The sequence below is a fragment of the Homo sapiens genome, chromosome 7 (genome assembly GCF_000001405.40).
Source record: "Homo sapiens chromosome 7, GRCh38.p14 Primary Assembly".
In the NCBI taxonomy this organism is placed as follows: Eukaryota; Metazoa; Chordata; class Mammalia; order Primates; family Hominidae; genus Homo; species Homo sapiens.
Window position 1 is genome coordinate 50641339 of NC_000007.14, and position 26070 is coordinate 50667408.

Below are 26070 nucleotides of genomic sequence, written 5' to 3' on the forward strand. Positions count from 1 at the left end.
TGGTGACTGTTCAAGTCTTCCATTCAACATTGCACCAAGATGTCCCTATCTGAATGGCTTCCCTCTACTGGAGTGTGCTTAGGGCATGCAAGTTTCCCTGAAGGGCATCCTAAAAGCCCTGGCACTAGTGTAACAAGGACACATTCATGAGAGCTGTGAAGGGCAGTACATTTAGAACAGATAAGGAAAAGGACTTTCTTCAGGCCAGAGGCCACTTGGGGGCACTCATTTTCCTGTGTAAGGACAATGACAGCAGCTGAAGGCTGCAGCCACTCATGGTCCCTGCAGCTGTGCAAAGTTGGGAGGGGTGGAACCATGAGTTCCAGACACACAGACAAGGCAGACCATCACAAACACAAACACGTGGGCAGCTGCAGGGCCACAGTGTCCACTCCTGCTGCTCCAACATCTCTGCGGCAGGACAGTCAGCTGGTGACACTGGCGAGAGAAGGCACTGGGACTGCTGGTGGTGACAGCCTTCTCTTGGGCTGATGCTCAGTGGCCTGAGGATTTACCGTGAGCGAGCCCAGAGTGTGTCTGCAGACTGGCGCCGAGGAGGCAAGGGCGTGGGAAGGCTCAACCTGGCCAGCGGCAGAGTACCAGGAAGTCTGCACGAACTCACTGCTGCTCACCTGAGGAACACGGGGTGGGGAGAAGGTGAGGAGTTCCGCGGCAGCGACAGAGGCTCTACATAGAGGCTTCAAAATCTGTCTCTAACCTAGCTTGCTGAGTGTCTGGGAGTTTTCTTAACTAGCTGTTCTGGGTCCTGTTGCATTCCACTCACTGTCCCCTCCTCTTGAGCCTCAGAGGCCTAAGCAGGAGGCGGAACCAGCAGGGGAAACTGCAGAGCATGCAGCCAGGAGAGGCAGGACAAAGGGCCATGCACTCAGAACCAAGGGGCCAGAACAGCCAACCAAAGAGGATGTGGGCTTGGAAACTTCACACACACACACACACACGCATGCACACACACACACATACAAACACATGCACATATGCATACAGATACACAAATGCACACACATATATGCCGTATACACCTACATATATGTAAACACGTACACATATACATGCAAACATGCACAAACACATACACACATGCACATATACACATGCTTCATACATACATATACATATACACATAAATATATATACACATAAATATATATACACATACATATAGGTCGAGTATTGCTAATTTAAAAATACAAAATCCAAAAAACTCTAAAATCTGACACTTTTTAAGTGCTGACATGATACTCAACGGAAACGCTCATTGGAGCATTTTGGATTTTCAGATTGGGATACTCAGCTAGTAAGTGTACTGCAAACATTTCAAAATCAGAAAAAAATCCGAACTCTGAAACAGTTCTGGTGCCAAGCATTTCAGATAAAGAATACTCAATCATTATACTCCTACACACACACACGCATAGACACATACATACATTAGTTTTCTATTATAAATATAATGTGTTCATTGTAGCAAATTTGGAAACTAAATAAGGAACAAAAAATAATAACTGATATTCCTTCAAGCAGAATGCCTACTCAAGAATGTAGAATGATAGACAAACTGGACAACATCATCAGGACAGCACCAGTCAATGGACATCTGCAGAGAGCAGAGGATCGACACAGTCTCAAATCATCTTCCTTCAAATTACTTCTTAATTACAAAAGGAAAATACATTTGACCCTTGGACAACACAGGTTTGAACCATTCGGGTCCAGTAATAAGCATAGTTTTTTCAACCAGATGCAGGTGGAAAATAGAGTCTTGGTGGTATTTGAAACCTGTGTATATGAAAGGCCAACTTTTTGTAAATTTGGGTTCCAAGGGCTGACTGCAGGACTGAGTATGAGCGGATTAGGGTACATGGAGGGGGTCCTGGAACCAATCCCCCATGTACACTGGGGAAAGACTTAATGAGAAACGTAACAGACAACACCCTAATCAAGTCATAAATATCAACATCAGCATAAACTGGACCAGCCAACATCATCATGCCTGTGGGCCACAGCCTCCTGTCTGTGGACCAGATGGGACTCCAAGGAAACACCACACAAACCAAAATGGCCCTTCAAGAAATCCCATCCGTCACGACAGGTGTGAAAAGGCTGAGGAACACTCTGTATTAAAGGAAACTAGAGATCTTAAAGTGAATGCAAATGGTTCCTGAACAGGAATAAAAGAATAACATAAAGGATGTTTATATGAACAATCGGGGAAACCTGAACGAGGTCTGTAGATTTCAACCCTGCATCTTATTAAGGGTAAATATCCTGACTTTGGTAACTTTATTATGATATGTAAGTGAGTAACCCTGTTTTTAGTCAATAGACTCTGAGGTATTTAGGAGTAAAGGGACTTGATATCTACAAATGAGTCTCAAATGGTCCAAAGAATCATGGTGTGTGTACATATAAATGTATATATGTGCATATATGTATCTCTATATATGTACAGGACAATGGAAATGACTTAAAATGTGGCAGAGATATTAACAATTGGGGAATCAGGGTAAAGAATATATGAGAGTTCTTTGCTCTATTACTGCAACTTCTCTATACATTTGAAATTTTTTCAAAATAAAAGTTTAAAGAAACATACGTGCGTGAAAATAATGACCTGCGGCTCTCCTCTCTTCACTCAGCATCTCAGTAGTATCTTTTCCCATAGTAACGATCACCCCAGAACATGAGGTTACATAGTGGAAAGCATGGGGGCCCTTGTTTCAGGGCTATCTTCACCAGGAGCATCTCTGTTTCTTTTCCATTCAGCAGTTGTCTTCACTATCCCGGATATTTATGTCCAAAACACTCAGCCAGTGTGGCTCAATCACAGACTAGGAGCTCAATGGGTTCAACAAAATATCCCAGGTGTCCAGGTGGGGTTCCTTGAGTCCAGGCCCTGGAACTGGGTCCCTATAGGTGTGTGTTCACCTGCCCAGTGAGGTCCCACAAGCTGACCATCACAGGGTCCCCTAGTCCATGCCCGAGCTCTTTATTTGGTGGCTATGTGATGGCCGAGCTCAGGGACACAGATAGGGAAGGGACGTAGCACCCGCTTCCACTGCCTTCTTCCTCCCTCTTGTATTGGAAGCCCAAAAGCAGCCCCCCAGCAACCTGAAACGCATGCAGTATCATCAGTCTACTTTTATGGTAATGTACTGTCTTTATCAGGACAACTTCTCCTTCATGTCTTATTTCAAACCCTGTCACTGACTGATGGGCATTCCGTTTCAGAAAAACTCTCACCTGAGACCATCAGTAAGCAGGACAGGTCTAACTGTGATTTCCTGAGTAGGGAACCTCAGGTAAGCTCTGTAAGGCCTGCTGTGAAAGCGGTACCCTGGATCACAGCACCGAACTAGCAAGAGCGGGACATCAGCCTCTACACAGCCCACTGGGCCACCACCCACTGGCCAGTGGAGCAGGGCTGTCCTGTCTGCTAAGGCCCCATGACCAAGAAGGTGTGGGCAGATGCTAGACAGACAGAACAATGACAGACAGGTGGAAGGGGCTGGGTATGGGATGGGCGGACCAGTTGGTGAAGGAAGACTGGCAGATTCACAAACGGTGAAGTCTGAGAAGCTGAGAGACACAGCAGGCACAGGATGGCTAAAACACTGCAAAAGGGCTATAATCCCCAGTACCATCTCCAGTCTGGACGACGCAGAAAATGACAGCCATGAGAAAAATTTCATAAATGGAGCTATCATTTAGGGCTATAATTTTATTCAATTACAACATGCCAGAAAATGTATTTGAAGATAAAATTTTCACCCTCAAAATCCCGATTTATCTCCAAAATATATTTGCTATGAATACAGTTGACGCTAATAATCTTTATACTGCCCATAATTCATTTTTTAAAAAGCAAGCTTACATACCATCAAAATGAGATTATATAATCACAAAAATACTGATAACTGGAAAGGCAAAACAGAAACTATGGAGATTTCTTTGAAAAAGCAGAACACACTCACTGGCAGCCCTTGGACTCCCAGCCTGCTACTTTTTCAGTACTAAAAACCACACAACCCATGCAAAAATCACCAGTGACCCACAGCAGCTTTCAGCCATCTGGGGAGTATGTCTGCTGGGCTGGCAGGGAAGAAACATGAGCCAAAAACACTGCCATTTGGGCACTAACTCCTTTAAAACCAAGCAAACAAAAAGGATCTGCTGAGCACCAGCTCAGAAGGTCTAACACCAAGAAGAATAAGTACCTGAAACTGACTGTGCACATCTTACCCCCATCCTCCAATCGCCCGGAGTTCTCAGACTCCAAGAGGTCTCCAGGCAGATCTGAAAGCAAACGCCGTCGTATCAGACCTCTTGGGGTCTGTCCATTTGCTCCCAGACAGGCTCAGTAAACATCGTCTAGAGTTTCTTGAAACTACAGAAACAGCCAATCAAAGTGATAGATTGCCTGGACACAGTCCCCTCACCACCCAGGGAACTGTCACCAGAGCCCCAGTGGTGCGAGGCCCTAGGCAGTGAGAAGAATTGGTCCAAAGCCACATTGCGAGGAACTGCAGAGTCCTAGCCAGTGGCCAGCCCCCAAGTCATATGCCTTCCCATCGTATTATAAGTGACATACAGCCCTTGGCATTATTTATAAAAATGAACTTTCTACACCCACCCACATACTTATAAATACATAAAACTTCTGCTCCAGCAATGACACTGCTGGAAACCAACCTATCCATCTGTCTATCCATCCACAACCCCATTCATGACCAAGGACCCATGCACGAGAATGTTCATTTCAGCTCTATTCATAATTAGAAAAAGCTGCAAACAAAAGTAAGCTTATGTGCCATTAAATGGTATATAAACATCTCAGTAGCGTCTTTTCCCCTAGCAACGTTCACCCTAGAACGTGAGGTTACACAATGGAAAGCACGGGGGCCCTTGTTTCCGGGAGCTGTTCATCAAAAGAGGGTTGAGGTAAATCTATCACGGTACCTCCATACAACACAACACTATGAAGCTGCAGGGGAAATCACAACAATGCACATCAATTTTGTGAAGAGATACACAAGATACTGTCCGCAGTGTCACCTCTGGAGAATGAGACTAGAGTTGGAAACTGAGAAGAAAGTGAATCTCACCGTTTACCAAATACCTTTTTGTAGTATTTGTTTCACTTTTTGTTTTTTACTATGAATGTTACTTTTATAAATAAAATAGGTTCTCCTTTTTTTGGTCTCCTGGTTGGACATAGAGGTGATATGGTAATAAGTCATGGCAAACTTACTCCTGACTCTGAATCCTGTTTGTAGTGCTAGATTCCGCAAATTGTCACGCCCTGACTGAATGAACCAGCTTCTTTGGAAAGAGATGAGTGGGGGTAGAGTGGGAAAAAGTTTTCACGTGAACTTCTCTGGGGAAAATGCTAGCTTCTAATGCATTCATGTTCCTGGAGGCCTTTTTCTCCAGAAAAGGAAGTAGCTCTTGGACCAATTGGTGTAATGATTCAACAACCAATCCTCCATCTCATCTACTGAGACTTAACCAGCCCTGCTGCTACGGGCACCAATCCCACCTGGTAAGGCCGGTGGGGCCAGATAGGAACCCTGGTGCAGAGCCAGGCTCAAGGCTCCTCCACTCATCCCAGCCACAAAGTCGGCAACCCCAAGCATCCATAAAAGTATCACTAACTAAAAAGAGGCAGAAAGTGTGGAGCATAAGATGAAATGTGCCTATTAATGGAAGAAAGCTCATTTAGGCATGAAGAGTCCAATTCTCTCTTCGGACAGAAATCACAACAGTCTCAGCAAAACAACAAAACAAACTCACTTAGAATCTATCAGTGTCTAAATAGAGACCTTGGTTATATAGATGTGGCATCTAACCTCAGCATTTTATAACTTAAAAAGCAGATCAAAATAGTTAGTGCTCCAGAATTACAAGAGGGATTTCCACCAGTAACATCTTTTTTTGAAAAAAGTTTCTTTGGTGGTAATCAAACTTTAATGAAACATTAAACCTAAAATGTAACCTATAATTTGAAAAAATGTTTTCAGATTTGAGTCAGATTGGCCGAACCTTTTCAAGCCATCTCAGGCCCAGCTACATGGGGAGGGTGCGGATGTGCCCTCACTGTCAGTCACTGAGCAGATGCTCCCTGAGAACCTTCTCCGTGCCAGGCACCAAGGTGCTGGGATTCGGGTCTGGAATAAAACCCCTTGACTTTATGGAACTTCATTCAAGTAGGGGAGATAGACAAAAAGCAAAATTCAGAGATTGTTAGATGGCAGAAGGCAAAGGAAAAACATTCAGCAAAGGGCTGCTGGCTAAGAAGGTCCTCAAAGGCAGCAAAAGATGCCACAGGCCGACTGTGATGCTCCCTCCCAGGCGGCAGAAACTGGGGACCAGCTGAGTCAGGAGGCTCCCATGACGACACAGGCAAGGAAAGTAAAGCCCAGGCCTGGGTCCCACAGCAGAGACCAGGCAGGCGCTGTCCAATTCTGGTACACAGGCTGGGGTGGCGTGAAACTCAAAAGAGGAGTGAGGAAGGGAATTGGGAATTCTGATGGGGGTACTGGTCTGCTGCTCTGAGATGGGAATTTGGAGGTATCATGTTTGGAGGGAAGGATCAGATGCTGACTTTGGACCTGTTGCGTTGGCAGTGTCTTTTAAGCACCCACATGGAGGTGCCATGTTGGCAGCTGGAAACAGGAGTCTGGGCCTTGAGGAAGAGTTTGGATGGGAATGTAAACCGGGGAGTAATCAACATAGGGACAAGATGGAAAGCTGAGGGAATGGCCACGGCTGTCCAGGGAGGGAGCGCAGAGAGGGGAGACGGAGCACCAAGGCCCAGTGACTGAAGAGCCAGCAACGATGGCTGAGAAGGAAAGTCCAGCAAAGAGGGTGGAAACCCAGACGGAGCTGTGGAAAGGAGAGCAGCGAGCGACAGGAGCCCTCATGCTGCTGCAGGCCCGGCAAGCGGAAGACAGAGAACCCCGCTGGCTTTAGCCATGTGGATGCCACCCTGATGGGAACAAGTGGAATTGAATAGCACAGTGGGGACAAAAGCTGGGCTGCTGGAACGTTTTTAAAAAGGTTTAAAAAGGAGCATTAGGAAACCAAGGAAAATGATAATCTTCTGAAAGCAGTAATTTTAACCACTGCCTTAATCTGTGAGGGAAAGGAAGGCAGAGCCTCGACCCAAGGCGGTAAGGAAGACCCATCCTCAGTTTTGCCTTTGGGAATCCTTATCCCAAGTCCTCTGCCAGCCCAAGGATGGCAGAGCATAGGTCCCCCTCCCATAGAACGCCTGGGGACTTTCCAGTTGACCACATCCCTCCTACAGCTACTCCCTCTGGGCTTCCAGAGTTTCCCTTCTTCAGGGCAGTGTGCTGTGAGCCCAGAACACTACTTCTGGAGGTCATCAAGGTCACTGAGACATAACAATGGACTTATTGTTTGAAGTAGTCCCAGGTCCTTTTCTTTGAAGCTTTTGAGAGCAATCTTCTCAGCTCTCCCGCTCCACTAGGAGAGGACAAAGTAAATATTCTGGGTGGGACTCCCAGGCCTCAGACCTACTCAATGTGGTCGGGCTAGCTCCTGATGGATGCATTGGTTAAGGTCAGCTGCCTCTTCTTCCTGCTCCTGAGTGGCCACGGGACTTGGGGGTAAGAAACCCATGTTGGGGAGCTGGGTTCTGATCCTGGCTCTGCCAAAGCAAGGGCGACCATCCCCCTAGAGGAGCATCCAGAACTTCTATAAAAACAAGGCCATCGTCCTTGTACTCGTCTGCCTGGGATGTGCTGGGCTCCATTCTCGGAGGTGTGGACAGAGCAGTGAATAAGAGACCCTGTCCCTGTTCTGGGGGACTGACGTTCTAGTGGTAAAACAGAGAACAAACAAAATAATCTCAGGAGACAGTGAACAACACGGAGACCACAAGCAAGTGCTGTGTCAGAGGGAGGCTGGCCAGGGGCACTGCCTTTTCCAAAGAAGCCCAGGAAGGCCCAGAGGAAGAGATATTTGAACTGACACCTGAATGATGACCAAGTGGCAGTGAAGAAAAGGTCTCAGGAAAGAGCCTCTGTGTGGAGACGCCACAGGGGAAATGCACAGAGGTGGACCTGAGCTGGCAAATGTGAGGGACCAAGAAGGCCAGGGCAGCTAGAACACAGTGACGACACACACGGGGGAGGGAATGGAGAACGGGACTGTACACCCCACAGGGGAGAGCTTGGATTTAATTCTGGGTGTGATGGGAGAACAGTGGGATTCAAATGACTCTCTAGAAATCATACAAGAGCTGCTGGGCTGTGGATGATATGAGGCAAGGTGAGGTGAGCAGGAGACAGGCTGCTGTGTCGTCCCAGGCTGGGACTGGAGATGGCATGGTGGAGAGGACAGGAAGCACTGGATATGGGACACATTGGAGAGGGAGAGTTGACTGGATTTGTACCTGAGTCCAAAGGGGGAATCAAGGATATGCTCCTCTTCCTTGGCCACAGCAACTGAGCGGACAATGACCCCTTTTAGTTAGGTGAGGAGGCCTTGGTGTGCTTCGACTATATTTTCTTTTGTTAAATTTCACATGGCAACTAGAGACCCAAGTGAAGACGGAGGGTACCTTTCAGTGGTGACTTGTCCTGGTTATAGATCTGGGTCATGAGCAGAGAGATGGCATCTGACGGCATGGGGCCAGATGCAGTCTCTCAGAGAGAAGACCACTAGAGTGGGGGAGGCTGAGGACAGAGGCTTGCGGGCCTCCAAACACCAAGCAGCCTGGCAGAGCAGGAGACAGCGAAGGGATGAAGGAGCAGAGAGATGAAGAGATCACAAGCTGGGGTCGAAAACACTTAGGGAAGCAAGTTTCTAGGAATCAAAGCTGTGTCACATGCTGCTGAGATGCCACCCCCAACTGGCCACTGATCTTAACTAGAGGCAGGCCACAAGGCCCCTTGATGAGACCCATTTCAGGCACCTAGTAGAACAGAGCGCCAACCAAGGTGGGTGGGGGAGAAACCAGGAGAGGAAAAGTAGAGACAGGGAGTCAAGCAGCTGGTCCTGGGAGGTCTGCAGAAAAGCAGCATAAAAGGAAGCAGCAGCCAGAGAGGAATGTGGCCACAGAAGGGCTTCACTTAGATGAGATGTGTCAAGGCACGTCTGCATGCAGGCAGGAATGATTCTGGAATGAGGATGAAACTGACCATGGAGGAAGGAAAAGAAAATCAATGACTACAGACTCAACGTCCTAGAGAAGATAAAGGGGGCAGCTGCAAATGGAGTGGTGGCCCTGGGAAGATGTAAGGATGTGTTCCCCTGTTTGGGTGGGAAGACAGGCAGGTGAGTGCTGATGGGGAATGGATAAAACAGGTGGTAGACACAGCAGGTGGCTCTCATTGAGAGCAGGTCCTGCCTACTAAGCCCAAGGCTACGACACCAGGTGAGAAGTTAGAAGGGGGAAGAAAAGGAGTAACAAGTTGTCTTTTTCATGAAAGTAGTGAATAAATTGGGAGTAGGAAAATCTCCTGGGAGAAAAAAAATCAAGGGATAGAGAGAGGAGACTTACCTTTTTCTTACTGATTTATAAGAGCTCTTTATTTAGGATATTGCAAATGTAAATATTGCAAATATTCTTTTGCAGCTTATCAACAGTTTAACATTTGATTTACAGCATTAATTTTCTTCATGGTCAAATCCAGCAATCTTCCACTATGATTTTACCTATTGCTTTAATAGTTAGGGTTTCATTCCTTAATCTGAGGACCAATTAATTATTCAACTATATATTTTTCTATTCCTCCTACGGTCTGATTTTTTATTAACAGATTAATCAACCTAAAAATATTTCAGTGTATGTGTATTAGTTTGCCATGGCTGCCATAACAAAATGCCATGAACTAGATGACTTAACAGAAACTCAGTGTCTCACAGTTTCGCAGAACAGAAATCCATGATCAAGATGCGAGCAGGTCTGATCCTCCCGAGGTCTGGAGGGAGAACCCACTTCTGGCCTCTCCTGGAGGTTCTGGCGGCTGCTGGCATCTTTGTCATTCCTTGGCTTACAGAAGCATCACTGCAATCTCCACCTTTATCTTTATGTGGCATTCTCGTCCCGTGTCTATTTGTGTCCAAATTTCCCCTTAGAAAAGGACACCAGTCATATTGGCTAAGGAGCCCAGCCTACTCCAGTACGACCTCATCTTGATGAATCACATCTGCAACATTATTTCCACATAAAGCTACATTCTGAGGAACTGGGGCTAGGACTTCAACTTATGTATTCTGAGGGGGACATAATTCAATCCATAACAGTGTGCAATAAGGCCCTAATTCAGCTGCTCATCCAAATAGTTTATAGTTGTCGGAGCACATTAAATTAAACAATGATGCCACTTTTACAAGATTCTAACCTTGTATGTATTTGACTCTCTTGAGTACATGCTTCAGTGCACAGAACTTTCACTCTCCATTCTTCAACTCAAACCATGTGGTTTTCATGACAGTAGCTTTATAACATCAAAGCCACTCTTTTGAAGAAGGTAATCTGTCAGCATTGAAAGACCAAATCCAAATGGTCTCTTCTGTGTTTCCATCCAACCCAACCTCTTGGCAGGGCTGGACCCTGCTGACGACCCTCACTGGACGCCCAGCCACACAGGTCCCACTCAGTCTGTTCTAACCTCTTCATCTCAGGCTTCCATGTACTGTCCCCACTTGGAAGGGCCCTGATCTATTCTGGAAATTGTAGGTAGAATTTTGGATTTCAAATTTTCAAAAACCTAGATGTAAATAATGTGTATTTCTAGTTCCAAATCAGGGTTCTGACTGATTCAGTGGCTGAGACAATATAAAACTAAATTAAAACAAGAACTCCATCTATAAAAGTAAGTGGAATACCATCTATAATAAAAGAATATGAGAGCACACACTGCTAGTATTGCAGACACCCGTTAAGTACCTGAGACCTGGTGGGCTGGGCAGCAAGCTTCTAGGTTCCCATCAGGGCCACGGTTATGGCAGGGGCAAATCTGGTTCTCTTTAGTCTCTATGGCATAAAAGTTGTTCACCTACAGAACAACTTCGGTTTCTATAGAAGCAACCTGTCCTTTATTAGGGGAACTCCAAATTACACCAAAGAGGGTGGACACAGAATAAGAGAAGAACGCCTTCCAGGGACTTGGGCCACTGAACTGACTGCTAATAAAAGAACAAACAATGCCTTTGAGGGAGATGGCCATACAGCGTCACCAGAGAAAGAGACAAGCCACATGCACCAGGTATGTGTCCAGAGACCAGGTCATTCCAGAGTGGGAGGAGAAGGATTCTGAGACTTCCGCTGCTTGCTAACAACCAAGCCCTCCGATCAAATACCTGAAAATCTTAATAGCATGAGATTGGTCAAAGCAGACACCACGCAGACTTCGCTGAGACGGCAGATTTTTCTATCAAAATGTTTCTTTTTACCCATCCCCTTCGTTTTCTTTGCCTCATCCTTTGGCTTATTGCACACCAGGTTTAGTTTGACTCAGAATTATCAGCATGGAGATAATTCACTCTTGATCCTCCAATGGCCCAGTCTTCTTTGGATTCCTGCCCTCAACAACACAATTCACTGTGGTCAGAATTCACATTCCCAAAGCTGTTCCTAGTTATGCTCTTGGTACCTACTAGAATCTTACTGGAATACAATGAAGAATTTTTGTCCCCTCTCATGTAACTGGTTACAAAGGAGGTGAGCAACTGCTGAGTGCAATATACCAGGGCCCACTTCACACTCCCCCCTGCTGGCCTCTGTGCCCTTCTTCAGCTGGCCCCAGTACGATGAGGAGCAAGGCATCTTCCTGGGCACGGGCAGCAGGCAGGCACCGTCTTCCTAGGCACTGTCAGCCCTAGGCCGTGGGCCCCAGTGCATGCTCCGAGGGAGGACTGTGTGGTGGGGCAGCAGGAGGTAGCCACAGCAGGAAGAGTCTGTGCTGTGCTGCAGCACCGCCCATGAAGCCGGGAACAGCCACAGCATACATAAGGGCTTGCACAAGAGGAGTACAACTAATCTCCCACAGCCTCCAGACGCTATTGCACTAAAAGCTGTTTGTCTCGGCCAGCCCCACCCGCTGCAACTGGGACAGCCAAGAGAGTGGGGGACTCAGGAAGAGATTTCAGGTCTGACATTTTCATCTCATAGGAAACAGCACACAACAAGTGCAGGTGTGTGTACACACGTGCAGCTTAGGCTCTGCACAACTGCCCTGCATGTGTTCCAAGCCACAACCCTCCCCAGGCAGGAAGAGCCCTCCCAGCCCTCTGAGTTCTCCCACACTCCTCCCCTTGGAAATTGCCAGAGACCACTTCAGCCGCTGGCCTCCCCGGGCTGGTGAAACGATGCATCGGGAAGAGACTTAAGTTTTCCTTCCACACGCTTCACCACTGTTCACAGGGTCCATGACTAGCCACCCCTGCCATCCCCCAGGTGGCTACATGAAGAAGCTACCCAAGTAAAGTTGGTAGATCAAAAAGGGACCTCTGAAGTACAGGCTGGAAGGGGCTCACAATGATAACAAGATCTTCCTCTTGAACTGTAAGTGATTACAGACACTAATATAAATCCAGCTAGAAGTGTAACCATGCGGCTGTCACTGTGCTTGAGACCATGAGGTCTTTATTCCCTTGTGTTCCGTCTTCTCGGGAACCTTTCACAGTATGCTGAGGCTCAAGGGCTGAAGGCTCAGGAATCCCCCGCCCTCGGATGACGTTTATACACAAGGAAGCTGAGCATGGAAGAGACAACCCCCTTTGCACAGTGTGTTCTGCCAACAGAATTATGAGTATTCCATGGCTTTTGGAAAGAAGGAAGGAAGCAGCAGCATGTCCCCAGCTTCTCCTGAAGTGTGGGGAATGCCTGGGGATGCCTAGGGCACCACGGGGTCCCAGGGAGGTGGCTCTGCGAGTGTTTCCCATGGCCAACAGCACCAGCTCAGAGCGTGCCTTGATCCCGAGTTGTGAAAAACCAGAGACAGATCAGTTGATGGCAATAAATATTCTCCTGCCTTCAGGTGGCCGCTGCCAAGCCTCACAGAGTCCCAGGCAAGGGCACCTCTGCAGAGCTTGCCCTGGTCTGGCCTTAACAGACGAGGTTCTGGTCAACAGGGAGAATTACTGTGGGATGACCTGGTCAGTTCTGTTTTCTGTGAGGTTTCTCCTCTAGAAAGAGCTCACTGCAGCATCAGTGCATGTTAAGAGGCACATTTTTGATTCTAAGCAGGGGTTTTTCTTTGTTTAGCATTTTATTTTGAAATAATTTTATTTTGAAATAATTTGTTTAGCATTTTTACAAAAAATGTGCAAAAAGCAATACAAAAACTCTCTGTATATATTCTTCACCTTAGTACTCCAAATATTAACATTTCACCCCATTCGCTTTATCAAATTCCCATTCTCTTTCCCTACCTACCTAGGAGAGTGGGTTGCAGACATCTCGCCCCTTTCCTGCTAGATGGCTTTGTGTATATTTCCTACAAACAAGAACACTCGCATAACTACAGTACAATGATCAAAATCAGGAAATTAACACTGATATACTACCATTAGCTAATTTACAGACCTCATCCAAATTTAGCCAAGTGTCTGACTCCTGTCCTTTTAGAAAAGGGAAAAAAAACAAAAACAATGTTGTTCTTGGTTCATGATTCAGTCCAGGACCCAAGCTGCGTTTGACTGCCTTGGCTCTTTAGTTCCTCAGATTTGGGTTTTGTTTTTGGCTTTTGTTTCTGTGGGGGTCTTCTATGACCTCAAAACCCGAGGTCATTCTCTAGAATGTCTCTTGGTTCTGGTTCAGCTGACGTCCCTTTGAGATTAGCTGTAGAGATGCTGTGTCCCCCTGGGTGCCACAGCTCAGGAGCCACACAATGCTGCCCTGACCCTTTTTTGGTGACATCAGTGTGGCTCACCTGGGAAGAGTGTCTGCCAGGTGTTTCCACACACGTAAGTTATTATTTTCCCCTGGCCCTTCATGCTGGCTCCTGTGTCTTTATGCCATGTCCCCTTCATTCTTTAAGCATCTCCCAGGCAGCCCTGGCTCCTTTTATTGGAGAATGGTATCTAGAAATGACCTGAGCGTTAGGTTGAACGTATATTTAAAGACAGAGGAAACACAGAACTGCAAGTTGTCTTACAGACCATGAAAACTATGAGAAATCAATAAATCACATCTTACCAATTTTACTTAGATGCACTCAGCTGTCCAACTTCACTCCACTGCCCTAGTCCAGATAACACGTCAGCATCTCCTGCACCTGCATCCCAACCGGCTATCCCACACCTCCTCCAGCCCAGTCCATCCTTCACACTGCAGCAGGCAAAGCAAAGTACAAAGCTGCTTTCCCCTCTCTGCCAGAGACCTCCTTTGCCCTGGAGACCAATCTCTTCCTGGGACACCTAAGGCCCTGGCTTCCTAGGCGCTGCCTCCTCTATACTATCTCAGCCACCATCCAGGGTGCCTGTGCCTTCCTCAACTGTCCTCATTCCCTCTTTCTGGAACACTGTATGCCTTCCAAGGCACTTAAGGATTCCTCATCTTCGGCCCCACTGATAGCTCTCCCCACATGATGGAATGTCCTGGCAGCATGTTGGAAACTGTCTGTGATAATGTGCCTCTATAAGGTGATTAGCATTGGTTTCTCTCACTGGGTTATGGGCTCCCAGAGGGCAAGGCTGTGTCTGCCCTGCCAGCCTCAGACCCCAGCACCCAGGCAGTACCTGCATGTAGAAACCACCTAAAATCTATCAGTGAATGGGCACAAGAGAGGAACAGAGGACAGTAAGGGCGTTATTTCCTGACTGTGTCCTGGTAGGGGAAGTTGGAACCCTGAGGAGACAGGCGCGGGCTGAGCGCAGAGTGTGAGATGTGCACACATGTGAGGGGTTTAGACAAGCAGACCCAAGGTCCTTGCTTGCTATCGGTCACTCTGATCCTCCGTCCCAGGGCGATCCTGTGGACTTGAGACCATGTCAGGGAGGCAGCGGCAGTGAGCTGTGCTGCACAGCTGAAAAAGACAGGATGTGTAACTACTGGAACAATACATGCTGGAGATCTCTAAGCTCATAAGGTCAGAGACCCGATGTGGTGACTATGCAGTAGCCTATGCAAACGCCACTAGACTCTCTTCTTCCTTCATCCCTGTCACTGCAGGGCCACACAGGCCTGACTTGTCATAAAATTACTATACACCCAGAAATAGCCACGGAAAAGCCAGAGGGCTTGCTAAGGTGTCTGCGGTATTCTGAAGACACAAATCCTGGAGTCCCTGCAAACAGCTGCTGACCACCTGGGACACAGAGTTCCACCCCTGCTGGGGAAGGCAGGCTTCCAAAGCCACCGTGTGCTACCATGCGGTGCCTCTGAGCCACTCTCTCATTAGGGAGAATGCAGAGGTGGAGAAAGGCTCCAGGAATGGGGTCAGGGCTCGGAAGTCCCGAAACTCACTCTATCCCGGATGTGGTAATCAACATAAGCAGGTCTTTGCAGACAGATATAGCAACACACATCCTGAGCTATAAAACATCCTCAACCTTTTAGTAGGAATCTGACTTCTAGGGTCTACCCTGGGGAAAGGATTCAAAATGTGGCAACAGCTGCACTCCAGGCACCCAGTGAAGCATCATTTATAGCACAGACACTGGACGACAATGCAAATTATCTGGTCACTGTGAAGTAGGTAAATATGGCACAAATCGGTACTCATCAATGTAGGTATCAGCTATCATGAGTGTTTTTTAGGAAGACCACACTAAGAAACACAGAAAATACTTATGAGATGTTAAATAACTGAAAACATATCTAAAATTATATCCACCTTTACTAAAACCTGATAAAATGCCGAGGGGCCAGGAACTCGACCAAACTCTGGGCAGATGGAAAGAGCTGACTTTGTTTTTAATACTGTTACAATACTGTTTTTGTGCCAGTTCAATGGTCAGAGTCAAAAGGGCAGTCACACTTAGGCTCCAAGGTTAAATGAAGAAGAAAGCAATGTTGCTTCCCACTTCCTCGAGTGTCTGTGATGTTCCCGCGGCTCCTGGCATGGCAACACTGCTTCTCATTCCCTTCCAGGATTCTGCAGAGAGACCAGGGACTGTGTGAGCGGAAACACTACCCGTGAACAAAAAGAGAGGAATGTGCGCCGGTACATGGTGTTCCCATTTAAATCTTTTCGGGGATTTCCTCATATAAATAAATCTGAAGATGCCAGGGTTCTATAAATAGGGCTAGAAACTACTGCCCTGATTCTAGAGAATCTCTGTTGTAAGATGACAGCGAAGATGCTATTTTAGGGCAAAGTAAAAGATAAACCATGTTAGTCATTAGCATTTGGTTCTCTCAGGGACCAAAAAATAAAAATCACCAGCAGAGGGTATGTACTTGTAAACCTTCCCACACAGGGACTATGTCTGTGCTCTCTTTCCTAGAAATGTCCAGACTTGGCACCAACAGCAGAGGGAGGATGTTTACCAAATTCTCTTGTGAATTTTTTGGATTTTCAAAACACTTTCACTTGGTTTCCTCCACTAATTCTTTTTTTTTTCTTTTTTACATTTTTATTACTCAAACTACTTGTCCTTCAGCCAGTTAAGAGACTGAGGCGAGAGCCTAAGGAAAGAAAAACAGAAAAGACATGGAGGAAAAGAGATGGCCATTGTCCAGGCAGTGGCCTAGATGGCCCATCTCATCTTGGGTCTCAACCAAGACCCAGAGGCCTAACACTTCTCGACTGTAAACTCTAGAACACTTTATCCTAAACTGGGTGGACCTGCCACATGCGCCTATTGCAGGAGAAAAGAAAAGTCCCTCCGTGGCTGCTCACAGGTATAAATAAAGCGCCAATGTCCACGTTCAGTGAGTGTAACAGGCTTCTCCAGTGGGTGAACTGTGGATTCCTACTCAAAACCAAACACAAACCAGCAGGCTGTTTGCTCGCAGTCATTTATGGCAGAAGCTGTCAGGTAGGTAAATTGGGGAAAGTGCATTGTCTAGTGGTTCCCCCTTACCTGATGAAATTTCGAGTCAAAGCAGCAGCAAGAATTAGCAAATCAGTTTGCCAAGGAAAATTACTTCCTGTTGCTAGCAAAATAGGCGGTCTCTGTGAAAGCACTGATGGCCACCGATAACCAATGACTGCACACTGCCCTTGCCTTTGAGTCCACAGGAGCCTCACGTAGATGGCCACAGGTGGGCAAGGCACAGACTTAGATTTTTGGCAAAACTATGGTGATTCTTCCTGTGAAAGACGTATATAATTTAAGTGCTCACATTTCCAATGCTCTTGACAGCTATAGATATCAAGAGGTATTCAATGCTACAGTAAAATATCTGTTTTAGGCCCCTCAAATTCAGAGGTTTATATTTTAAAAGATATTTGTACTCCGGAGAAACACTAGTAGTTGGGATTTCACATAAGATTCCTGCACTGATTTCCTGTGTCATATTTAGCCAAACAAGTGGTCTGCTCCAGGTCACGACTGCCTCGCTGCAATTGCATCACTTGCTCTGATGCAAACACGGGAACATGCAGGTGCCGTCACGTCGGGCCTTCGGGATTATTCTCAGACTGCAGGGGCTGCGGTCCCTAGAGAGCTGTGAGAGACCTCCGCTTTAGCAAAGCTGCCAGAAAAGTCTAAAAAAGTGAGGATGACATTCACCATTTTAAAAATAATCATGGGCAATTTAGCACCCTTTCCCAAAGTGCGTTCTGTGTAAAGTTTACAGGTGCTGTCTCTAAAGCACTTCTGTGATCACAAATGTTTCAGATGCTCTAGCTTAGCTTGAGTGAATAGGTAGGTTTTCTTTTTCTGTAAGATTTTTCAGATCCTCTAAAATCAAACGGGAAATGTAGAATTGCCAAGAAAACGATAGACGATGCCAAATTTCCCAAACTTACTGAACCTGCATGGCTTTTTCCCCCTCAGGACAACTCAGGTAACTGGCATTCTAGAAAATGAGAGGTAAAAAACGTGAAGAGATCTCAGTCACCTCAGCAACGCCAGAGGAAGACTGAAACCCAGAAAGCTAGACCCTACTCAAACCACGGAGAGCTGAGGGAGCCTAGCCAAGCCCCCCTTTGAAAAAAACATGTCCTGGCCACCCTGCTGTTAAAGCCTTGGCTCAAATGCAATGCTCACAGTCACCGAGGACACCCGAACCTGCCAACGCTCAAGGCTGGACGCAGGGCTGCTCCCAGGTCGCTCTGGGTCCTGCACCTATCTCCCATGCTGAGCTAAGCAGCTGTGCAATAGTGTGTGTGCCCACGTCTCTTCTCCGGGTAGCCCAAGTCTTGGAAGGCAGACAGTAGAGCAAACTCATCTCTGTCTAGAGCCTGTCCAGGACAGCCCCTCACCTAGAGGAGCATATTACAGGACCATAAGGTTAGAACATCCATCCTTCAGTGGTGGCCACGCCGGAGGGCATAAATGATGGTGAGCAATGCAATGGGATCTGCTACATGTGTGGGTTTTGCTTGCACGGTTTCAGGGATTCACGCGTCCCCTCATAAGTAATTGAATGACAAGTTGAGAGTTCACTTAGGCGTACTGAAATGCATTTCTGTCGTCTGGGGCACTGCTGTGGCACACTGAGAAGACAGCTAGAAGCTCGGGTCCTGAGTCTAAACCCACTTTTTGTGATGTATTTGTCAATGACCTTGGAAGATGACTTTATCCTCCCTGGGCCTCAGGTTCCTTAAGAGCACATGTCTCGTGGTCACTCCTGATGAAGGCAGTGATCACGTGGCAAAGGGGTGGGGCACAGTAGTGGTGCCGCGTTCATGCAGTAAAGGGGCATGGGGGCACAGCTGCGGTGCCGTGTTCACGTGGGAAGTAGGGGGTGCAGCCATCATGCCGCGTCCACAGGGGAAGTGGCAGGGAGGCGCAACTGCGGTGCCGCATTCAAATGGGAAGTGGGGGTGCAGCCATCATGCCACAACCACAGAAGTGGGGGGTGCAGCCGTGGTGCTGCATTCATGCAGGAAGGGAGGTAGGGCACAGCCATGGAGCCATGTCCATGCAGGAAGTGGGGTGGAGTGGACGTCCTGCCACGTTCACACGGCAAGAGGGGAGGCAGCCGTGGTGCAGATTTGACTGTCCTGAGCTCCAAGACACAGAGACATCAGCAGGGCCCCGCCTCCTCAGACAGAGCAGGAAATGGAAGTTTCCAGAGATGCTGCCACACATCAGCGCTGGAGCTGGGTTCTGCCCCAGCACCTTCCAAGTGCCGTGGGCAGGAGCTCCCCCTCCACACCGTGGCCTCTCGGTGCAGACGGGAAATGGTTACAGGCAGGTGGCTTCCGTTGGGAGACAGGAGCCACGCAGTAGCAGAAGGAAAGGAGTTAGAGATGCAGGTGTGAGGGGGGCCGAGGACAGAGGATTTTAACTTGAAAATGGCGGGATGAGTTGAAGTGCACCTCATGCTGACTCTTGCGTGCGTGAAGCCACAAGGGACCATCCTGTGATGGCGCAGCATCTTATCCATCCCGCCAGGGCCAAGGCCCTGGGGGCTGCAGACCCAACCCACTGCAGCCAGCACCCCTCAGGGTCCCCAGCACTCAGGGTAAACTGCAGTTAGGCTCAGGCCCCAATGTCTTCTGATCTCCAAAGGCACCAGAAAAGGTGACACGGGCAGACTGTGGAGGTGCTAAGAGTAACAGGGCTTGCCAGCGGGTGGAAGGGGCTAAAGGATGGAGGAAGTCCATCCTCAGCAAGGCCCACCAGCAAACTGCTCGGGACAGGCCCAGTTGCAGACACACATTTGCAGGAGAGAGCATTCTCTCCGTGCAATACATTCTGTGAAACAACCTGCACTGGGAGGCCAGGACTAGTTTTTCTCAGCAAAGATGGTCTAACATATTGCATGCAGTTAAAGCCTCAGGAGACCTAATTTTGATCATTAGTAAATAATTGTATGCACAAACCCTTATCCAAAGTGATTACTGTGGTTCCAGAAAATTAATTTTTAAAATTAAGCAGAGGGAGAAGAGCTGATTGGAGCTAAGACAAGATTTATGTCCTATTACTAACAGGGTTAAACTATGTGACTAATTGTGTTTGAATAACAAATGGAAAAATGTGCTCTAAAAACTCATTATGTAGCTGCACGAGAATCTTTATTGGCTGAAGGAAAGTGTGGCCTGTCAAAGTGCCCACTGAGCTTGTCTTAAGTTCATAAATAAACAAGTTCCTAATAGCATTACTATACTTTTTCTTCACCGGCACTCTTCTCTAGGGTGCCCCTGGGGACACCCCGCCCTCTTGTCTCAGCACCTCTGCACATTTACTGTAGGAGTCAGTTCTCTGCCTGCTCTTGGTTTCTGCTTCTTCAACATGTGAATCTGTTCTTGGCATCACACACCACAACCAACTCACTGGGGCCTGTGGGGTCAGTGCGCCCCACATGTTGCCTCAGTTGCCCTTGCCACCACTTCACATTTCTGCATACCTGGCTTACCCACCCGTATATGGAACAGCTGCTTCTGGGTGACAAGCCCAACTCTGGTCTCACCAGCTGCCGTTGTGGAGAGAGGACAAGTGCCGTGACACAGGACGAGGCTGTGGTGGCTGCTGTCTCCGGCCCTAGACTTCCTGTTCTGCAAAAGCAACTCTCCTTACAATAGAGACCAGACAGATTTGGTTTTATTTCTTGCAGCCAAAGGCATCCTGAAAGCAGGTGAAGCACAGTGTCCCACGCTTGCCAGGAGAAGGACTCCCCACATCTCAGCAGCTGGTGTTACTACTGTCATTACCTGCAATGTTGTGGAGTTGGAGTCTGGCCCCATGCCCAGGTGCCTTGACCTTCTCAGTTGAAGACCAAGCCCCTGGCAGTCCCAGGCTGGTGCATGGCAGGAGGGGCAGCTTCCTGGCAGTGGAGGTGCTGTCCTTAAAAGCCCCTGGGCCTCCTTTTCAGAGAGGTCTTCCTCTCCGATGGTCATGACCCAGGATGTGCGAGGCACAATCAGGAAACCGAGGCTCCCTGATAAGTGGAATGAAAGTCTGCCAATACCTCCAAGAAATGAAGGGTTATTCAGAATTGGATGCTAAGCTCCTCCACTGCCTGCACAAATCCATCTCCTTTCAGCAGCAAATGCCAGTGTGTGCTGCATTTGGGGGGTGATGCTTCAGCCCCAGGCAGGAGGGGGGACAGACTCAGAGTGTCTTCTCCAAACTCAGCAGAGTGCTGACCTCAGAGGTCTGGGAGGGGCAGGAAGAAGACTAAGGCTTTGGGCTCATCTAGATTGAGTACAATTTCCTGCCTGTACCTCTAGTTGGCTGTGTGACTCCAGCCAAAGTATTTCACCTTGTGGAGCTTCAGGACCTTGGTTTCACCATATGAAAATAGTCTCTCCCTTGCAGCATGTGGAAGTGCTGTGAAAATTAAATGTGTAGTAACCACCAACGGATGCTAAAAAACAGGAAAATTAAGATTCTACCTGATAGAATCTCTTAGAACCCAAATGTGAGTCTTGGTCTAACATCACCTGATTCATCTGAAGCCTCTTCCTTGTCCATCTGGAATGCAGAGAAGCTATTCCTTATGCTTTCAGGTGATGCTCTTACAGACACCTGAGCTAGACTCTCAAGGGAATCTACTTCAACCTTTACCAATTTTGCAAATTCTCTTCCATAACATAGATTCATTTGTTGATTCATTACATTTTCAGTTATCCCTTGACTTAAAACATTTCTTTCAAAGGCCCACTCGCTGTCCCTGCTCCACGGGTGAGGATGACAGGGAAGAGGGCCCAGGGTGCATCCTCAGAGCTGACATGGAGATAAAGCCAGCACAGCCTGGGAAGGGCAAGGCCACTCCTGCTGCAGAGTGAGATGCTGCTGGGACATTCCAGTGACAGGAAGTGGGACCCCAGGCAGCCCCCTCCCTGGGGATGCTGACAGGTGAAGGGACCTTCCCCCACAAGGAGTAGGTGGCACCTCCCTGTACCTCTCTGGCCCTTGTTCCAGCCTCTGGACCCAGAGAGTAGGAGGCATCCCTCCCATGTGTGTGCTGTAGGAAATAGCCACAAGTGCCCCAAATGATCCTTAACCACTTCCCATTTTCTCCTTTGCCTCCTGCCACAGCCTCTCACCATCGAGTCCCTCCACTTGGGATGAGTGCCATGTGACTAGGGTCCTTCTCACAGGGATAATGGCATCCAAGAAAGAACACAACAAAGCCACTAGCTTCTAGAAAACCTATTTCTGTCAGAGCAGAATGGTCAAGCCAGCCACTCAGGAAAGGTCATACTGGACTGCTGACTGGAGCCACGTGTCTAACTAACTGAGCCCTTCTCTCACAAGCAGCAGTGGCTGCAGCTGCCATCCTCTTGGTGATACTTTTGTAGCTGCATGTGCAGACATCATTTTGAAAGCCTATTTAATGTAATCCTTTTTAGATTCGGGCCATCATCCCAGCTTGCTGAGCCCTTAGTGGACGCCAGATCCAGTGCCCATCAGGGAAAGCCCCTGGCATGCCAGGTGCAGGGAGACAATGCAGACACCATAGGAGTCACCTCGCAGGATGCCACAGCCGAAACCAGCAGGCCAGGACCTGCCTGCCAGGGTGTCTGCTTCAGCCCACACAGTGCTTACAGACACTGAAATGTGCAAAATGTGGAGAGTTCAGGTCTTCAGTGGCAATTCTGATTTCTCTCAAAGCATCCAATTTTCTGGTGACACTGGTCCCATGCTCCTGCTGGCCATGCTCGGCTGATGGGCGGTGGCTGTGGACACAGGGCCCCTCTTCCCTAGCGTGGACACCGACGCTCAGTCTTGCCTCGAGGAGCTACTTCTGCCCTGACTTCTGATGTCGCTGAGCTGACACCCTCCTCACACAGCAAACAGCCAGGATCAGAATGCAGGAACCGAGAAGGCCTTTGGGACAGCCCCCCTACAGGGTATCGTACCCACCAGCCTGAACAGTCAAATGTACCTATACACATGGCTCCCCTCAGCCTCTCAGAGCCTTCTGAACTTCACCCAGCACCTGCAGGAAGAAAATGGCACCCCACTCACCTTTCTCTCCTCTCCCAGGACCTTAAAGAAGTACAGCAGAGGGAGACAGTCACCAGGCCGTGGCGGGGGGCCAGCCCACCTGCCAGGGTCCTCTGCAGTGTGTCTGTGGGGGCAGGGGGGACAGCTCTGGTATTTACCCAGGATTGTCTGGCACCTGGCCCAAGTCCCAGGTCTCGGAGCACATCCTTCTGTGGTGCCCCTCCCTCCCGACACCCGAGGCCAGCTCCAGGCACACTGCATGGCGCTTCCTCAACTCAGAAGGCCCCGGAGGGTCTGACGCAAAGGAGGACCACTGCAGCCAGTGTCTGCCAGGGCACCAAGATCAAAGGCAGCCTCACCACAGAGACCCAGTGGCACCAACTAGACCGTGAGCCCAGCCTCTCCGGCCGGAGCATGGTGCTTGGCCTCAGGGCTCACAAGTCTTTGCTATATCAATCACCCTTACCACAACAGCCTGTCTTTTCAAATGAGTCACAAAGCAGTTAAAAATACCCTGTTGATTTTTACCACAAATATCCAGTTTCCTGAACAATGACTAATTTAATTTCACCACCTTTTAGAGGAAAGAAATTAAACACTCAGAAAGAAATTCTTATGTATTTGTATTTTTGGTAAGTCAATGACGAGGTATTATTAAACTTAAATAAATCAAACCACTGAATAAAATTAAATGCCATTTAATAAATGATGGAATCATCTCCACAGAAGCTATACCTTCCAATGAAAGTCACTCACTGCTGACAAGGAGGACTGCTGTCACCTCTAACAGACACTATGTAAAACCATACATCACGGTTCCTCTATGCACTCTCCCAGAGCAAAGGGGGATGTCTGCTCTAACATCAGTTTTTGCCTTCCGTGAGGGAATAGGTCTGTGTGCTCTCTCACTTTAATGGTGAAGCCATAGAGTACAACCTCAGGTAAACGCAAGACCAATAGACTCTGGCTTAAATATTAACAAGCCAAAACATTGCTGTTTTAAAATTCATCATCAACAACAAAATAAAACAGAAAGCCCAAGAAGTCTAGAAAGACAACTCCAAAACATCTCACACTATTTATGAGCACCCAAACACCAGTGAGGGCCCATGAGCCAGTGGCAGAGGTGCGTGGAAGTGCCTGGGTTTACTGGCTCCAGATTTCCATGCTTCCACCAAGGGTCTGACCGGCCCAGGTTTGGAACCCATAACACGTTGGACAAACTGCTCTCAGGGCTCCCCCTGGCCAAATGCTGAGCAGCTGCAGGGCGGGTGCCACCCCACGTGGGGGTAGCAACGAGCCTGGGTGGGACCAGGGAGGTGAGACCGACCCTGCACTGCTTCTGTAGAAGCACCTGGGCAGGACCCCAGACCCAGAAGAGGAAGCAGAGCCTGGGCAGGGTGAGGAAGTTGAATCCAGGGCAGGTGAAGGACAGCCAGGCAGGAAGGAATGAGTGGGCTGTCAGACGGTGACATCCCAGCACGTGGATCTCCGATCAGAAGTAGCCCCCTTTGCGCCGGTGTACGTCTCCCCCACAGCTGGAGGATCACAGGTTTGAAACTCAGCTATTCCCGCCAACCCAGATGACTCAGGCAAGCCCCATGGGTACCCTTAGCAAACTCAGCACAGCACTCAGGAAGAACCTGGCCAATGCAGGGTCACGAAGCCAGGGTGCAGTCATCGTGGAAGAACTTGGTAAGCCTGCCTGGGGCTGCTGCATGCTCTGGGATCCCCAGGGAGAGGACGCAAGGCAGCTGGGGAAGACCTCCCTGTCCTTCTAGATAGAATAATGGCTGCTCTCTTTTGGCACATGCCTGCCACGTCTTAGACTACCAACTACTCCATCCTGCTTCCTCTCAGATAGCTCTTCACTCTGTCACCATCGTGCTAAGCTCACGAGAGCAGGGCCCACTTTGCGGTCAACCTCTTGGTCTCAGGGTCTGGCAAAACACCCGGCCCGTTGTAGGGGCTCAAGGTGAGCGAAGGCAGAGAGCTCAGAGGGAGGCGGCATTGGAGGAATCGCGTGCTGTTGAATAGGAGGCTGAGGGCTCTTCTCTACCCATGACTACTCCCATGCAGAATTTTCCCTCCCCTCCTTCCTTTCATCAAGTCCCATTGGCCCGTAGCCTTTACAGGGCACTGAGCTTGTATCTTACATGTCTAGAAAGGAGACACACCAGAGCTGCAGGTGGAACTCAGATCCGTGAGGGCCCACAAATGCTGCAGTGAGACCACTGCCACTCTCCCACCCTGTCCCAGCACGCGGGCCAGGGGGCTCAGCATGCTGTGAGGAGCGCCAGGTCCACATCATGGTAGTTGCTTGCTCTCAGACCTGGGGTCTCTGGACACCAGCATCTGATCTCTTATCACATTACGGAGCTACCAAGGAGTCACTTAAAAAGGAGAGAGGCAGGGCCAGGCGCAGTGGCTCACATCTGTAATCCCAGCACTTTGGGAGGCCGAGGTGGGCGGATCACAAGGACAGGAGATCGAGACCATCCTGGCTAACACGGTGAAACCCCGTCTCTACTAAAAATACAAAAAATTAGCCGGGCGTGGTGGCGGGCGCCTGTAGTCCCAGCTACTCAGGAGGCTGAGGCAGGAGACTGGCGTGAACCCAGGAGGCAGAGCTTGCAGTGAGCCGAGATTGCGCCACTGCACTCCAGCAGCCTGGGCGACAGAGCGAGACTCTGTCTCAAAAAAAAAAAAAAAAAAAGGAGAGAGGCAGAAGAAAGGTACTAATGCCTGTGTGGGAATTTCAGAAGGCTTTGCCTACAAAGCTTGGGCAAGAATGATTTTTCCTTTCTCATGGAAGTTTAAATATCTCTACTTTTTCCTCCCGTTGCCTTCTTCATGAATCTGCTATTTAATAGTGAACATAATGACATGAATGAGGAAGTTTCCAATCACCTCACTATCCCATTACCTTCCATAGATTTCGTTATGCTTTCTTCTTTTCCTACGTTAACTGAGTTCTTCCCTGTGAGCAAAGCCACTTTATGTATCGGGTCCACTTTGTCAATTTTTCTACTACTTCAGAATCCTTGACTAGACCTTGGTCTC

The 26070-nt window shown here is 48.3% G+C and overlaps 1 protein-coding gene and 1 long non-coding RNA gene across 43 annotated transcripts in view, besides 4 other annotated features; one reads left to right on the plus strand and one right to left on the minus strand.

Annotated features, from left to right (window-relative positions):
* The window catches only part of GRB10 (growth factor receptor bound protein 10), a 203386-nt gene that overhangs the window by 51271 nt on the left and 126045 nt on the right, over positions 1-26070 (minus strand). For 23 of the 42 annotated variants that reach the window (XM_017012061.3, XM_047420233.1, XM_017012034.2 and 20 more), the window contains one exon: positions 20475-20609. The exons of 18 other annotated variants lie outside the window; for them this stretch is intronic. In XM_017012061.3, coding sequence (XP_016867550.1) covers positions 20475-20609 — 135 coding nt within the window. Of the gene's footprint in view, positions 1-4235; positions 4317-20474; positions 20610-26070 lie in introns of those variants that run through there. One more of the 42 variants, XM_047420256.1, reaches the window with a different exon arrangement.
* On the plus strand, positions 419-2611 carry LOC124901632 (uncharacterized). The gene is made up of 2 exons (XR_007060323.1): positions 419-657; positions 1543-2611. It is a non-coding gene; the product is annotated as an uncharacterized LOC124901632 (long non-coding RNA).
* Positions 11549-12179: an enhancer, noted in NCBI's record as "H3K27ac-H3K4me1 hESC enhancer chr7:50720584-50721214 (GRCh37/hg19 assembly coordinates)". NCBI's record gives its function as "activates a minimal SCP1, AML or CMV promoter by ChIP-STARR-seq in naive H9 embryonic stem cells {active_cell/tissue: H9 hESC(naive)}" and the evidence as "EXISTENCE:reporter gene assay evidence [ECO:0000049][PMID:30033119]".
* Positions 18082-18251: an enhancer, noted in NCBI's record as "experimental_99457 CRE fragment used in MPRA reporter constructs". NCBI's record gives its function as "activates a minimal promoter by MPRAs in K562 erythroleukemia cells, with activity observed for the non-introgressed 7:50727202 variant allele {active_cell/tissue: K562}" and the evidence as "EXISTENCE:reporter gene assay evidence [ECO:0000049][PMID:34662402]".
* Positions 21841-22010: an enhancer, noted in NCBI's record as "experimental_99465 CRE fragment used in MPRA reporter constructs". NCBI's record gives its function as "activates a minimal promoter by MPRAs in K562 erythroleukemia cells, with activity observed for the introgressed 7:50730961 or rs3819431 variant allele {active_cell/tissue: K562}" and the evidence as "EXISTENCE:reporter gene assay evidence [ECO:0000049][PMID:34662402]".
* Position 21926: a transcriptional cis regulatory region, noted in NCBI's record as "Neanderthal adaptively introgressed variant 7:50730961 (GRCh37/hg19 assembly coordinates) or rs3819431 in the experimental_99465 CRE". NCBI's record gives its function as "modulates activity of the experimental_99465 enhancer by MPRAs in K562 erythroleukemia cells {active_cell/tissue: K562}" and the evidence as "EXISTENCE:reporter gene assay evidence [ECO:0000049][PMID:34662402]".